Here is a 14,770-nt window from a genome sequence, read left to right on the forward strand (position 1 = left end):
TGAAGACATTTTAGAGCTATAGGGTAATACATAATTATTTATTCACTCATTAAACCAGATAGTCAGCATTTCCTAGATCAGCACTGTGCCCTGCTCTAGGGAAGTGGGGTAGCTTAGACAGAGCTTCTGTCCTGTTCTTGGTGTACTGAAGAAGTTACTCGTGACTCAACAAGGGTGTTATTGTGATATTATATCACATGAAGAAAATATTTGATGAATGAATGATAGTTTGATAACATTGGAAAATGTTTATGATACAATCTCAAAAGAGTAAACACATGCATACTATGATTACAATTATTACTTTCTTAATGTAAAGCTTTAAAGTGGTATATTTATATTGAAATAATGAAAAATTCTGTATTTCTGTTTTAAAATAAGTCAGGCATGGTGGCTCACACCTGTAGTCCCAGCTACTTAGGAGACTGAGGTGGGAGGATTGCCTGAGCCCAGGAGTTCCAATTCAGCCAGGGCAACATAGCAAGACCCCATCTCTGAGGCGGGGGGAATATATATATGTGTATATATATATATATACATATATATAGTGAATATATAATAATGAAAATGTTTTGTTTTACCTATAGGCATTTTTTACACTTGCACGAGATATAATGACAAAACTCAACAGAAAAATGGTTTGTATCACTTATAATTTTTATTTCCATTATGCTGTCTGTTTGGCATTTGATGAAAAGGATAGGTCTAATTATAAGATACTCAAATTAAACTCATTTTTTTCCTGACTCAGATACTCATTTGGTTGAACTCTGATTCTTAGTTCTGTTTGTTTAGGATTCTTATTTCTGAGCTGCCACTGTTTCAGTCCTTTCTTCTGGCTCTTTAAGTGATCTTTAATTGAATTTTGATGAGAATAATGAAAATAATAATGGCACAAATTCGATTTTTGCCATAAAATTATTCAGTTTTCATGTGACAGGTATTTATATCTGCATAACTACGATTTTGAAGTTGCTAAAGTTTGCTTAAATTTGAAATCATTAAGACAACCTTGAAAGTTTGTTTTATCCTGAGTCCTGACTATAATTGCGTACCTTATGCTACTAACTCTTCTTACCTCTAACAGAACTGTCTATGCCAGTATCTTAACATTGTTTCCATCATTACCTTTGAAACTTTACACTCCATTGGAACTAGAAATAGAAGCTTCCTATTGAATACATTATTGATATAAAAGCTGCTATCGTAAGGGCATTTTCCTCTTTTCAATTCACCATTTCCAAAGAAAAAGACAACATTGGTGCTTAACTAGTTCCCGTTCTAATAAAATACTCTAGTGAATACACATTTCACTAGAATACACATTTCACATGGTATGGTTAGTTATTTTTATTTTTTAGGTAACTGAGGTCAAACCATGAAACTTTTATTTCCTTGGTAACTTCATCTTCTATTTTTTAGAATGACAGCAATTCAGCAGGAGCAGGTGGACCAGTGAAAATAACAGAAAACCGATCAAAGAAGACCAGTTTCTTTCGTTGCTCGCTACTTTGATGAACTCTTTCTGAGAGACTGCAGCACACCTAGAGGGCCCTTTCCTGCTTCTCTGAAAGCACAGGTCACCCAGCCTCAGAATCACACCTCCCGGCTGCTGCTGAGAGCACCACTGAACTTAGACCTCTCAACACAGTATGCCAAGTGGATTCCAGCCTCATGGCCTAGCAAAAGAACAGACTCCCTTTTTCAAACATGGAAGCAATGAAGTGGAGACACATGCAGGACCTAACTCGTTTTTTCCTTGTTTTATTACCTGTTGCAGAAGCGGTTATCTTTCTTTTTTACTTTGCACATCAGTGTTAGCCTTTCCCTATTTCAGCACAATCTTAGACTCATATTTGCACACTTTTGTGTCGTGAAGTTCTAGACAAATTTGTACATGTGGCAATGTTAAAAGAGCATTTACAGCAGAGGTTAATATACTAAAATTAAAGGGTATTTGGTCTGGTTCATATGGTCAAATATTACTGCCTTGGTAGCATTTATTTAAGGGCTTTTTCTTAAATAAGAATCATTAAAGTCATTAAAAAAATTTACTGAAATGCCCATCTTGTCATCAAAGGCCACAATTTCTTTATTTCTTCAGATTAAGAGCTTTGCCTCATCCCCGACCTGTTTTCCAGAGTCTGGGTAGCTGAATGAATCACTTTAAAATGATTACCTCTGCCTAATCTATAGAAACTGCATTTGGAAATCACCATAATCTCATTTTTCCCTGGGGTTTGTATTTGCTATTCTTTCCCATGTTTGACTTAAGTGTAATCACTCTTAAGTAATATTTGAACATTATTATCTGTTTCTATTTGTGAACTTCTTGAGCTGAAATTTTACGTGGGCTGAGAGATATACCATTTAGGGTTTTAGTGCAGCATCTAACTGTGATTCTGTCAATAAGGATATGTAATATATTTTTTCTTAGGTTCACTCCTTAGCTGGCTGGTTTAGTTGTAATACCAAATTCCTACCATAATCCCTGTCTACAAAAGTTAGGTTTAGATTTTAGTTTGCGGAAACCTTCCCTATATAGAGACAGATTAACTTGTTGATATAAATTTAATAGAGCTAGCTCTTGGTAATGGTGAAAATAATGAGTTTTGGTTGGTTTTATTTGGCAGATGTTTTTAGAAATAAAAGTACTTAGACCTAGTGCAGCCTCTAGGAAAAGTCTTGCCTTTTCATTAGAGAAAACAGGACCAAGGTTTCAGTTTTCAAACAGCTGTTGTTGATTGTGTAGAACCCAGTTCCATCTGTTTTGGTTCATTGTTACAGAACTTAGTCCAGTCATTTGGGCTAAAGCCAACCAAAAGCTTAGTTGCCTTTCTCAACAAACACTGGTACTGGTATACTTTTGTAGATGAAACCATCACAAGGTATTTAGTGTTAACTTGTGTGCCAAATTCAGATCACTATGTCGTTGTTGCTCTAGCCTTCAGTGTCATAACACAGGGGGGATAAAACAGAGGGGATGAGGGAAATGAATTCTGTTAATAATTATTCTTCCTGGTATGCCTGTTTTGCTTCACAAAGGCTACTATCATGCTGGATAGATAAGAACAGGAGATGGCAGTGGAAAGGGATTGCTTGTTACCACAGAGAATTCTCTTCAAATTAAGATATGTCATTAGAATGCTTGGACCAGTCAATCTTTTGTACTTATTTGAAAATATAGGAACAATTTAGCAGCTGCAAATATGCCCAAGCTATTTTTAATAGATATACTAAACTTATTGTTGACAAATTTCAGCCTCCTTAATTTTTTTTTTTTTGGTAATTACCTATAGGCTTAAAAGTCATTCGTTGCTGTTCTAGTATAATTAGTAGTTCCGTGATTGAAAGTTTATTGTAATTCTACTATCTTCAAATTAGATACATTTTCAAAAGGAAAAGATAATTTTTTAGAAACATCTTAATATTCACTATTTCCTGAAAAAATCCAAGCAGTTAACGCTTTCTGGATGGTAACAAAGTACCTTCTAAAAGATAAGTGCTATGACACCATGTATGAATGTAATTCTCTTAGTAATTTACCTCTGACTATTTGGTGTCTTAACGCTTTGGTTTATATAATCTCAGGGGTTGTCTGCAAACCAAAACTGACATATTCTGTGGTTAGCTTTTATTACTTTTTTTTTTAACAGAATGCTTTGCTTTGGTTATATTTCTTCTTTCTTCTTTTGTCTTATATGGATTAATAACTAGTCTCCATGAACTTCACTTGAAAGAGCCTGTAAAAGTTAGATGAGTCTAAAAGTGCTCTTTGAAGTAGCAGCAAATTGGGAGTATATGCTCTGTTATATAGAAATAAATTGTCCTTGCTATTTTCTTACATTTAGCTTTGCTAGATTGTATATACATTGAGCTAAGACCTTAGGAAATTCACTTTCTGCATGATAAAATGACCCAATAAATATTCCACTTTGCTTAATAATGTACATACAGTGCATTATTTTTTCTATTTGTAGATGAATTTAATGACAGATAATTGTCTGTTCCCCGCTGAAACTGAAGAAATCTAGTTTTTTTGTGAACATTTTTGTGGTCTTATGGATAAGGTACATGAAGATTTTTGCAGCAGTATTAGTGGTTCAGTGGCTGCACTTTATTAATCAGTGTGTTAATTTTTGACAGTGATTGGACTAGACCTTTTCAAATAGAGTCTGAGGGTATCAGACAGTGAAAATGTGCTGTAACTAAGTAGCATGTAAATCAGTTGATTGTAAAACGTTTCGCTGGGAACTTATTTTAGCTATATTTTACTTCAGACAGATTATGATACAATAATCTACCTGTGCATCAGTTAGTAGGTGCTGCAGGGTTTCTTACTATTTACAGAAACATTTTGTGCAGTCTTTGTTATAAATTTTCAGAAGACTATACTCTTTACTTTGAAGGTCTATTTTTTAATTATACCTCATTTAGCTAACTAGTATTCTAATACCTGGTAGAAAAACAGTGAGCCAGCCTTTAAGCATCTAACAAAATTTAGACTCTTTGTTTTGTTTTGAACTGAAGACATCATTGGGAAAGGTAGGAAATATTAGTTTAGGATAGAGCATACATGTCATATCCAGTAGCATAAAAAAAGTATTATCTCCCTGTCTCCATTAATAAATTTAGCTGTGCAATATAGGTGCGTTTTTGCAGAAGTTTCTAGTAAGAGATTATAACTCCATTTTACAGGTTCTGAATGCTCAGAGTCTATATTAAGGCTTATAAAGTTTTTCCTGTGATCAGTAAGTGACACATTTAAGCAGACATTCTTTTCAAGTTCATGACTTAGATTCCTTTACAAATTTAGTTCTCAATCTTTAAAAACCACATTTCATTATGTTGGTTAATTATTATAAATTTTAAGCACTCATTTCTGCAATCAGGTTTCTCAGAATTTTTTTTTTTTAAACAGAAGAGACATTCCTTTTTCCTTGTTACATCCAAGGGGGGCACAGGGGTGGGTGGAAAGGAATGTCTAAAAATGAAATCCCTTGATATAGAGGGACCTAGACGGACAGGATATGCTAAAATAATTTCAAATTCTAGCACAATTTTAGAGTAGAATAAGTCATTTTTTTAGACTAATAAAATTAATGGCTGTCATGTTCACTCTGAAAAAAATCTAAATGACTGAAATGTACAGAAATAAAAATTAGCAAACAATTATTCTAGGGATATTTTCAGATTTTACTTCATTTCTTGAAATGCGTGTGCCATATGCAATTGCATTTCTTGTGCCAAGAAACTAATAGAACTTATTTCACTTTACCTTTTTTTAAAATGTGAATTTAGTTATTATAGTTCAATTTTATGGCCTTACAGATGGCTTTTATTTTGTTTGCAGCTGACACTGCAGTTCCTTTCATGCAAAATACCATAAACTGTTTGATGAAAATCATGCCCCTAATGGAAACTCTCTAGTTTTTCCATATAACTATCCTACTGTACATGTTTAAACATATTTTATTTTTGCTCCAATGGCTTAATGTGAAAAGCTCCTGCAGATAAGTGGACCTGTCATGTGGTTAATCTTGTTTAAGCCAATTCATTAACTGTGTACTGATACTGATGCTATGTTTTTTTTAAATGGATTTTATTCCAGGTGAACTTTTTTTTTATAATAATGTTCGTCTAAAATAAAAACTACATAATGAAAATGAAAATGCTAATGGCTCTCTGAAATGGACTGCACATTTTAAAAATATTTCTGCAAATTTGGGCCAGATGCAGTGGCTCACGCCTGTGGTCCCAGCACTTTGGGAGGCTGGGGTGGGTGGATCGCTTGAGGTCGGGAATTCAAAACCAGCCTGGCCGGCATGGTGAGACACCCATCTGTACTACAAAATTACAAAATACAAAAATTAGCCCAGAATGGCAGGGCATGCCTGTGGTCCTGGCTGCTCAGGAGGCTGAGGTGGGAGAATCGCTTGGACTTGGGAGGTGGAGGTTGCCGTGAGCTGGGATCGGGCCACTGCACTCCAGCCTGCACAATGGAGTGAGACCCTGTTTCACAAAAATAAATAAATAAATAAAATAAATTAAAAATGTTTCTGCAAATTTGACAGGTATATGTTTCAAACCATGGCAGACTTAAGATATTTTAGCAAACTTTATATCTGACGCAGAGTTGTTTAAAGATCTAGAAAAATAGCCAGCTCCCCTGTTCATCATACTTAGCTCAGCATACATTGAGGTTATTCTGTTGTAGAACCTGTAGCTTTAAATTGATCACCCTTCCTTTCTTAGTCCTTGCAAGTTTAATTTCTGTTGTTTTGTTTCCACTTGAAAATAATTTCTTTTGTGGTTTTTTTTTTTTTTTTTAGACGGAGCCCCACTCTGTCACCCAGGCTGGAGTGTTGTGGCGTGATCTCGACTCACTGCAACCTCTGCCTCCTAGGTTCAAGCGATTCTCTTACCTCAGCCTCCCGAGTAACTGGGATTACAGGCACACACCACCATGCCTGGCTAATTTTGTATTTTTAGTAGAGACAGGGTTTTGCCATGTTGCCTAGGCTGGTCTTGAACTCCTGACCTCAGGCGATCTGCCTGCCTCGGCCTCCCAAAGTGCTGGGATTACAGGTGTGAGCCACCATGCCCGGCCTTGTGGTGTTTTCTGAGACAAGGTCTACTCTGTCACCCAGGCTGGAGTGCAGTGGTGTGATCATGGCTCACTGTGGCCTCTACTTCCCAGGTTCAAGCGATCCTCCCACCTCAGCCTCCCGAGTAGGTGGGACTACAGGCACTACCCAACCCAGCTAATTTTTTTTTTTTTTTTTGGTAGAGACAGGGTTTCACTATGTTGCCCAGGCTGATCTCCAAATCCTGGGCTCAAGTGATCCTCTCACTTCGGCCTCCCAAAGTACTGGGATTACAGGCATGAGCCACTGCACCCAGACGGAAAGAACCAACTTGATGGCACCAGCACTGTCGATACTCTCCTGCTTTGTTTGCACATATTCCCAGTCTCAGCCTTTCCCATTCATCCCACGGCCATTTCAAACCTTCACTATTCTTCTCAAGCTTCCTACCTCTTCCCTGTCCCTCTTCATGGACTGATCTTTCACCTCCCTCCTTCCAGAGAAAAGCATCAGTCACAAACCACATTAGCCTCCTCTCCCTCCCTAACCTACAGGCCACCTTCATCCTTACCTCCTTCCTCTTGGTCTCACAGGCATTCTTAACCTAGGCTCTTCTCTCTGCCCCATATCTGAATTCATCCTCCCACTGCTATCCTGCTTTTCAGGGAACTCACAGCTCTTTCTCTTGTACCTTCAAACCCCTATCCTTTCTTAGCCCTTTCCTTCAGCCTCTGAGCATCCTCAACCCTCCTACCCTGTGGCTTGTGGTCCTCTCTCACCTGCTCTTTTTCCTCTTCTTTCTGTTATGCTTAAAGGCATCTGTTTTCAAAGAGGTATCTATAGTTACTATGCTCACTTTTTCATTTTCCATTTATTCCTTAACCTACTCTGGTTTGTCTTCTACCCCCCGCCCTGCCCCTCCCCACCACTTCGCTGACATTGTGCTTACGACAGCCTAGCTGCTAAAGTAGTAGACAGTTTTCAGTTCTGTTCCTAGCTAACTTCTCGGCAGCATTTCACCAGTATATTTCTCCCCCGCCCGAGAAATGTTCTTTCCTTGGCTTCTGTGACAGTATTCTCATGATTCCGACTTATGCACAATAATTTCACCCTTTTTCATGGCTCTTTAAATGCTCATAACTTCTGCGGTAAGGCTGAATAATGCCCCTCCCCACCTTCCCCTACCCCCTCAAGGTTGGTCATGTCTTAATCCCCGGAACCTCTGAATGTTACTTTATATGGCAAAAAGGACTTTGCAGAGGGGATCGAGTTAAGGATCATGAGATGGGAGATTATCTTGATCCAAGTGGACCCAATGTAATCCTAGGGGTCCTTCTCATGAGAGGACAGGAAGAGTCAGAAGAAAGCCACGTGATGATGGACGCAGAGGGAGAAAAGGTGCTGTGATGCTGTGCAGAGCCATGAGCCAAGGAATGTGGGCAGCCTCCAGGATCTGGAAAAGGATTCTCCCCTACAGCCTCCAGAAGGAACCAGCCTGCTCTGACACCTTGATTTTAGCCCAGGTCAGACCCATTTTGTACTTAACCACCTCCAGAACTGTAAGACTAAATTTGTCTTTACAGACTGCTTTATGTCACTGAGTTTGTGGTAATTTAGCACAGCAGCAATAGAAAGCTAAAACAGTTTTCAAACGTGTATCTCTAGCCATAACCACTTTCCGGAGGGCCAGACCTCAAAGTTACCTGCCTACGGGACATCCCCCTTGGATCTACTACAGGGACATCACACACAACATGTCTGAAACTCAGACTCAACTCTGTCTTTTCCCTCTCCCCAAGCAAACCCCACTTCCGAAGTGGGCGGTGGGGCGGGGGGGGGGGGGCAGCCTGTCCTTTTTCCATCATAATAAGTAGCACCATCATCTGTGTAGATCCTTAGTCAACCTCCAGATTTCATGGGTCCTACCCCTATCTACTTGTCCATTATTACTGCCACTCTTTGTTGAGGCCCCCTCAACTTCTGCCTAGATCACTGTAATCTCTCCAAATCAGTCTCCCCACCTCTAATTTTATTTTCCTCCAATCCAGTTTTCACAGTGCTGAGTTTTACAGGTGGCATCTTATCCTGTCCCCGCTACATATAATGCTTTAGTGGTACTGCCTAACCTTGGGATAAAAACTCCTTTGCATGGCAAACAAAGTCCTTTGCCATCCCCACATCTTTCTCTCCAGCCTTAAATCTCGTCATGCCTTAACTCATACTCTTCCTTTGAACCTCATGAGTAATTGCAGTTCCCCAGCACATCATATCATTTTATTCCTTTGCTTACATTGCTCCTTCTGCCGACTTCTGCTTCTTTACTTGGCTGGCCTCCGCTTACTTTCAAGACTCACTGAGGGGCAGGGCATGGTGGCTCATGCCTATAATCCCAGCACTTTGGGAGGCCGAGGCGGGCAGATCATTTGAGGTCAGGAGTTCGAGACCAGCCTGGCCAACATGGTGAAACCCCATCTCTACCAAAAATACAAAAATAGCCAGGCATGGTGGTGGGCGCCTGTAATCCTAGCTACTGAAGAGGCTGAGGCAGGAGAATCACTTGAACCCAGGAGGTGGAGTTTGCAGTGAGCCAAGATCATGCCACTGCACCCAGCCTGGGCAACAGAGCGACACTCTGTCTCAAAAAAAAAAAAAAAAAAGACTCACTGAGGGTTTCTCTGGCAAGATTTTAGCTACAACCCCCCCTCTGCTTAGAAGCCTCTGTGTATGCCCCAAGTGTCACTCACCACATGGATTTGAGTTGACTATTTACTTTCCTTCTCTACTAGATAGACTCTAGGCTCCTGAAGGGTGGGAGTTGTGTCTTTAGTTTTTGTATCTACCATACCCAGTAAGGGGCTTGGCACATGGTAGGTGTTTAATAAATGAAAGAATCGCCTGGCACAGTGGCTCATGCCTGTAATCCCAAAACTCCGGGAGGCTGAGGCAGGTGGATCACTTGAGCTCAGGTGTTGGAGACCAGCCTGGGCAACATGGAAAAACCCTGTCTCTACAAAAAAATACAAAAATTATCCAGGTGCGGTGGCACGCACCCGTAGTCCCAGCTACTCAGGAGGCTGAAGTGGGAGGATCGCTTGTGCCCAGGAGGTTAGGCTGCAGTGAGCTGTGATAGTGCCACTGCACTCCAGCCTGGGCGACTGAAGTGAGATTCTGTGTCAAAATAATAATACATAAATGAGAGAATCAGTACTTCAGTCATCATCAAAATTAACTTGCCCATGAAGTAAGTGAAGTGTAATTTGGGAGCTAAGTGTAATTTAGAAGTTTTGTTCTCCATTTACTTTCAGACAGTTTCACTCTGTCATCCAGGCTGAAGTGCAGTGGTGCAATCTTAGCTCACTGCAGCCTCGACCTCCTGGGCTCAAGCAATCCTCCCACCGCAGCCTCATGAGTAGTTGGGACTATAGGCGTGGGCCATCACGCCTGGCTAATTTTTTTTTTTTTTTTTTTTGAGACAGAGATTTGCTTTGTCGCCCAGGCTGGAGTGCAGTGGCACGATCTTGGCTCACTGCAACCTCCACCTTCCAGGTTCAAACTGTTCTCCTGCCTCAGCCTCCTGAGTAGCTGGGATTACAAGCGTGTGCCACCAGGGCCGGCTAACTTTTTTGTTTCTTGGTTTTGTTTTTTGTTTTTGTTTTTGAGACGGAGTCTCGCTCTGTTGCCCAGGCCAGAGTGCAGTGGCGTGATCTCGGCTCACTGCCACCTCCACCTCCTGGGTTCAAGAGATTCTCCTCCCCAGCCTCCGGAGTAGCTGGGACTACAGGTGCCTGCCACCACGCCCAGCTAATTTTTTGTATTTTAGTAGAGACGCGGTTTCACCATGTTGCGCAGGCTGGTTGCGAACTCATGAGCTCAGGCAGTCCGCTCACCTCAGCCTCCCCAAGTGCTGGGATTACAGGCGTGAACCACCATGTCCAGCCAATTTTTGTATTTTTAGTAGATGGGTTTTCCCCATGTTGGCCAGGCTGGTCTCAAACTCCTGACCTCAGGTGATCTGCCTGCCTTAGCCTCCCAAAGTGCTGGGATTACAGGTATGAGTCACTGCGCCTGGCCTGATTTTTGTATTTTTTGTAGAAATGGGGTTTCACCATGTTGCCTAGGCTGGTCTTGAAGTCCTGGGCTCAAGCAATCCTCCCACCTTGGCCTTATATGCTCTTTATTCTGGTTCTTATCTTTTAATCTTTGTTAAATACCTTACAGGGGTCCCCAGTTCTGGGGACATGGATAGGTACTGGGCCACACAGCAGGAGGTGAGCGGCAGGCCAGTAAGCATTACTGCCTGAACTCTGCCTCCTGCCAGATCAATGGCGGCATTAGATTCTCATAGGAGTGTGAAACCTATCATGAATTGTGCATGTGAGGGATCTAGGTTTTGTGCTCCTTATGAGAATCTAATGCCTGATGATCTGAGGTGGAACAGTTTCATCCTGAAACCATCCCCATCACCCCAACCCACAGTCCATGGAAAAATTGTCTTCCACGAAACCAGTCCCTGCTACCAAAAAGGTTGGGGACCACTGCCTTATACTATCTTAATCTGTGTTGTATCTTACACTATATTAATCTTTATTAAGTATAGAAGGATTTGCTTTTAATAAGATCACCCAGAATGTTGTTTAGGTATTGATAAATTCAGTAAACCTTCTCTCCCACTTCATGATTCCAACCCTCAAGATTGGTGTTCCGTTATTAGTTCCAGGGATATATGAGAATGCACCATAGCAAATAAAATAAATAAATAATAAATTAAAATAAATAAATATACATTCGCCTAAGGTGAAAGTAGTTGGGTGATGACATGAAAGAAAAACAGAAATTGCTGTGGTTAAGAATAGCAACTGCTAAATACATGAAATGAGTTTTTGTTCCTTATGAGTAAATATTGCAATGAAATTTTAGGGAAATATTTCAAATAGGTAGTCACATTAGTCAATAAATTATCAAAATGTCTCAGGCTTCAACTGAGGCAGCTGGATCTAGCAAAAAGAGGCCTGAACTAGAAATCAAGACTTCCAGGTTCCAAGTGGGTTCTGCTGCTCAGTAATGGAGTATTTTCTAGGCTTGTTGTATCCTCTGTTTGCTTTTAAAAAAAATTATATTGGATAATCTCTATGTCCTTTCCTAGCTCTAAAATTCTAAGAAAACACTGGTAATTTCTCTAACATAGATCATTTGATACTCTACCATCATTGCAATTTTCTCTCTGATATCTCAATGAAGGTATTTAGTTTTATGGTTTATAAATTTGGAATATAAATTAAATCAACTTGGCATTATAAACATGGACACTTAGTATAAACTAGGTAGTAATTCTTTATCTGATTTCTTATGACCAATATTTGCCCTCGTTTTTGTTTCTTAAGGTTTCTTCCTCTTGCATTGCCCTTATTTATTTACTTATTTACTTTTGAGTTGGAGTCTCGCTCTGTCACCCAGGCTGGAGTGCAGTGGCATGATCTTGGCTCACTGCAACCTCTGCCTCCCGGGTTCAAGCAATTCTAGTGCCTTCGCCTCCTGAGTAGCTGGGACTACAGGTGTATGCCACCACGCCCAGTTAATTTTTGCATTTTTAGTAGAGATGGGGTTTCACCATATTGGCTAGACTGGTCTCAAACTCCTGACCTCAAGTGATCTGCCCACCTCAGCCTCCCAAAGTGCTGGGATTACAGGCGTGAGCCACTGTACCCAGCCACTTCCTCTTGCATTGCCTTTAAAAAAATTTACTTGTGAATATTGTGTGCAAGCTGAAGTTGAAAAAACTCTAAGAGAATGTAGTTAAGACTCTCATCTTGTACCATCAACAAAACCAGTGCTGCTTGAAAGCTGGGTCCTAGGGTTGACTCTTATAGGGCTGGTAACTTCACTCCGACCTTCAGCATCACAGCAGGATCGAAATTGCATCACTCGTTACCAAGGAAACTGGGTGGGTACTCTGAGGATCCCTCCATTTCCTGTCTTCCTTCAGCTGGTGTCCTGTCTCCTCTCCTCTAAAGCTAAATTTCTCCATTTTTTCCTCTTTCCTTTTTTTTCTTACCACACATTAATGTGAGAAGATTTTACAGACTGCCTTTTACCCCTATGTCTGGGTCACTGATGACCTCTGTATGGCTAAATCCAGTGGACATAATTCACTGGTAGCTTTTGTTGTTGTTGTTGTTGTTTTGTTTTTTGTTTGTTTTGAGATGGAGGAGTCTCACTCTGTGGCCCAGGCTGGAGTACAGTGGCGCAGTCTTGGCTCACTGCAACCTCTGCCTCCCAGGTTCAAGTGATTCTTCTGTCTCAGCCTCCTGAGTAGCTGGGATTACAGGTGTCTGCCACCACGCCCAGCTAATTTTTGTATTTTTAGTAGAGGCAGGGTTTCACCATGTTGGCCAGGCTGGTCTCAAACTCCTGACCTCAAGTGATCCGCCTGCCTCAGCCTCCCAAAGTGCTGGGATTACAGGCGTGAGCCACTGTGCATGGCTACTTAACCTCTCGACAGCCCTTCTTTCTGAAATGTTTTCCCCTTGGCTTCCACAGCACCACATTCCCCCAGTTTTCTTGTTACCCTCTTGGCCACTCCTTTTCAGTTTCTTATGAGGTTCCTCTTCTCCTCATACCTTTAATGTTGGTGTTCTGACATAGGCCTTGTTCTGGCTTTACTAGCTATCTAGGTAATTCTATTCTATATACTCTCACGGCTTCAGGTATTCTGGTCTCAGCTCTGATGTTCAGTCCATTTCTCTCCTGATCCTGTATATGTAGTTGCCTACTGAACACCTCCATTTGGAGTGCTACAAGTATCTCAGTCTCAAGGCATCCAAAATGAAGGCCAGGCACGGTGGCTCATGCCTGTAATCCCAGCACTTTGGGAGGCCGAGGTGGGCAAGTCACTTGAGGCCAGGAGTTCGAGACTGGCCTGGCCAACATTGTTCACACTGTCTCTACTAAAATACGAAAATAACCCAGGCATGGTGGCGCGTGCCTATAGTCCCAGCTACTCTGGAGGCTGAGGCAGGATAATTGCTTGAACTCGGGAGGCAGAGGTTGCAGTGAGCTGAGATCACACCACTGCACTCCAGCCTGGGCGACAGAGTGAGACTATGTCTCCAAAACAGTAACAACAAAATAACAAAATGGTACTCATTATCGTGTCTACTTTGCCATATTCTCTCCTCCTCCTGTCTCCACAGCATCCACTTAAGCCCGAACCCTCTAGAAGCCCTCATCCTTGACTCTTCCCCCATCTCACTCTATGTAGCTCATTAGTCACTAAATTCTGTTTGTACAATTCCTAAACTTCTATTAAATTTGTCTGCTTCCCTCCAGAGTCCTGCTAATTCCCTGAATCAGGCCACTGCCATCTCATGCCTGCGTTGCACTGAGGACCTCCAGTCTGGAAGCTCATTTTCCATATCTTTACAAAGCAGATCTATCACTCTGAACTGTTGTCTCGACCCGAGTTTTGATAGGTATTGTGCTGGGATCTGACCATTCAAAATACAATCACTGGAATCTGAAGAAGTATTCTGTGGGAGTGAATGGAAATATATATGACTTTTAAATGGGCAAAGGTAATGTTTTTCTGTAAGAATTAAATACCTGCAGTTGTATTATTTGAAGGTGCATTTTCAGGGGCGAGCTGCAAAACATCTGTCAGGTCCCAACATTTGTCTACTGGTGTTTTTTTAAATGTGGATTGCCAAAATCTTTATTCATGATGGACATTATGTAGGAGTGGTTAATACTTACATAGCACTTACCTGTGTCAGGCACACTGATCAAAATAACCGACGAAGTATTATTCAACATAAAGAAAAATCTAACTTGGATGTGAATGATCAGAGAACTTAAGTTTTAATTTTTAAACCTTTCAGAAATTGTTAATATAGATGTTTATAACTTCCACCTTTTAAATTATTTCACTTATTGAACAGATATTAGTGAACTTCTAGGTGCTGAGGAAACAACAAAGAGCAAAGCAAAGTCCCTGTCCCCCAGGAGTTCGCGTTTTAACGGGGAAGAAAAATAAGCAAGTGAAATGGACGACTGTGAGAAGACGGAGCAGGGAGATGTTACTATTGCTTGTAGGGTGGTCACAGAATGCCTGCAAAAACAACCCTTTTGAAGAATTGGGAAAAAAATAAAAACCATTTGGCTGAAACAGCCCTGAGAAGGGCAGCTTC

At 40.9% G+C, this 14,770-nt stretch overlaps 1 protein-coding gene and 1 long non-coding RNA gene across 3 annotated transcripts in view; both read left to right on the forward strand.

Moving 5' to 3' along the window:
* RAB8B (RAB8B, member RAS oncogene family) overlaps window positions 1–5,672 on the forward strand; it is a 78,171-nt gene extending 72,499 nt beyond the window's left edge. For both annotated transcript variants that reach the window (XM_017022312.1, NM_016530.3), the window contains 2 exons: window positions 588–638; window positions 1,423–5,672. In XM_017022312.1, coding sequence (XP_016877801.1) covers window positions 588–638; window positions 1,423–1,515 — 144 coding nt within the window. In that variant the 3' untranslated portion in view covers window positions 1,516–5,672. The remainder of the gene's footprint in view (window positions 1–587; window positions 639–1,422) is intronic.
* A 7,329-nt stretch (window positions 5,673–13,001) lies between these two features.
* LOC124903504 (uncharacterized) lies at window positions 13,002–14,748 on the forward strand. The gene is made up of 2 exons (XR_007064674.1): window positions 13,002–13,258; window positions 13,914–14,748. It is a non-coding gene; the product is annotated as an uncharacterized LOC124903504 (long non-coding RNA).
* Window positions 14,749–14,770: the final 22 nt, after the last annotated feature.

The sequence above is a fragment of the Homo sapiens genome, chromosome 15 (genome assembly GCF_000001405.40).
Source record: "Homo sapiens chromosome 15, GRCh38.p14 Primary Assembly".
Taxonomy (NCBI): Eukaryota; Metazoa; Chordata; class Mammalia; order Primates; family Hominidae; genus Homo; species Homo sapiens.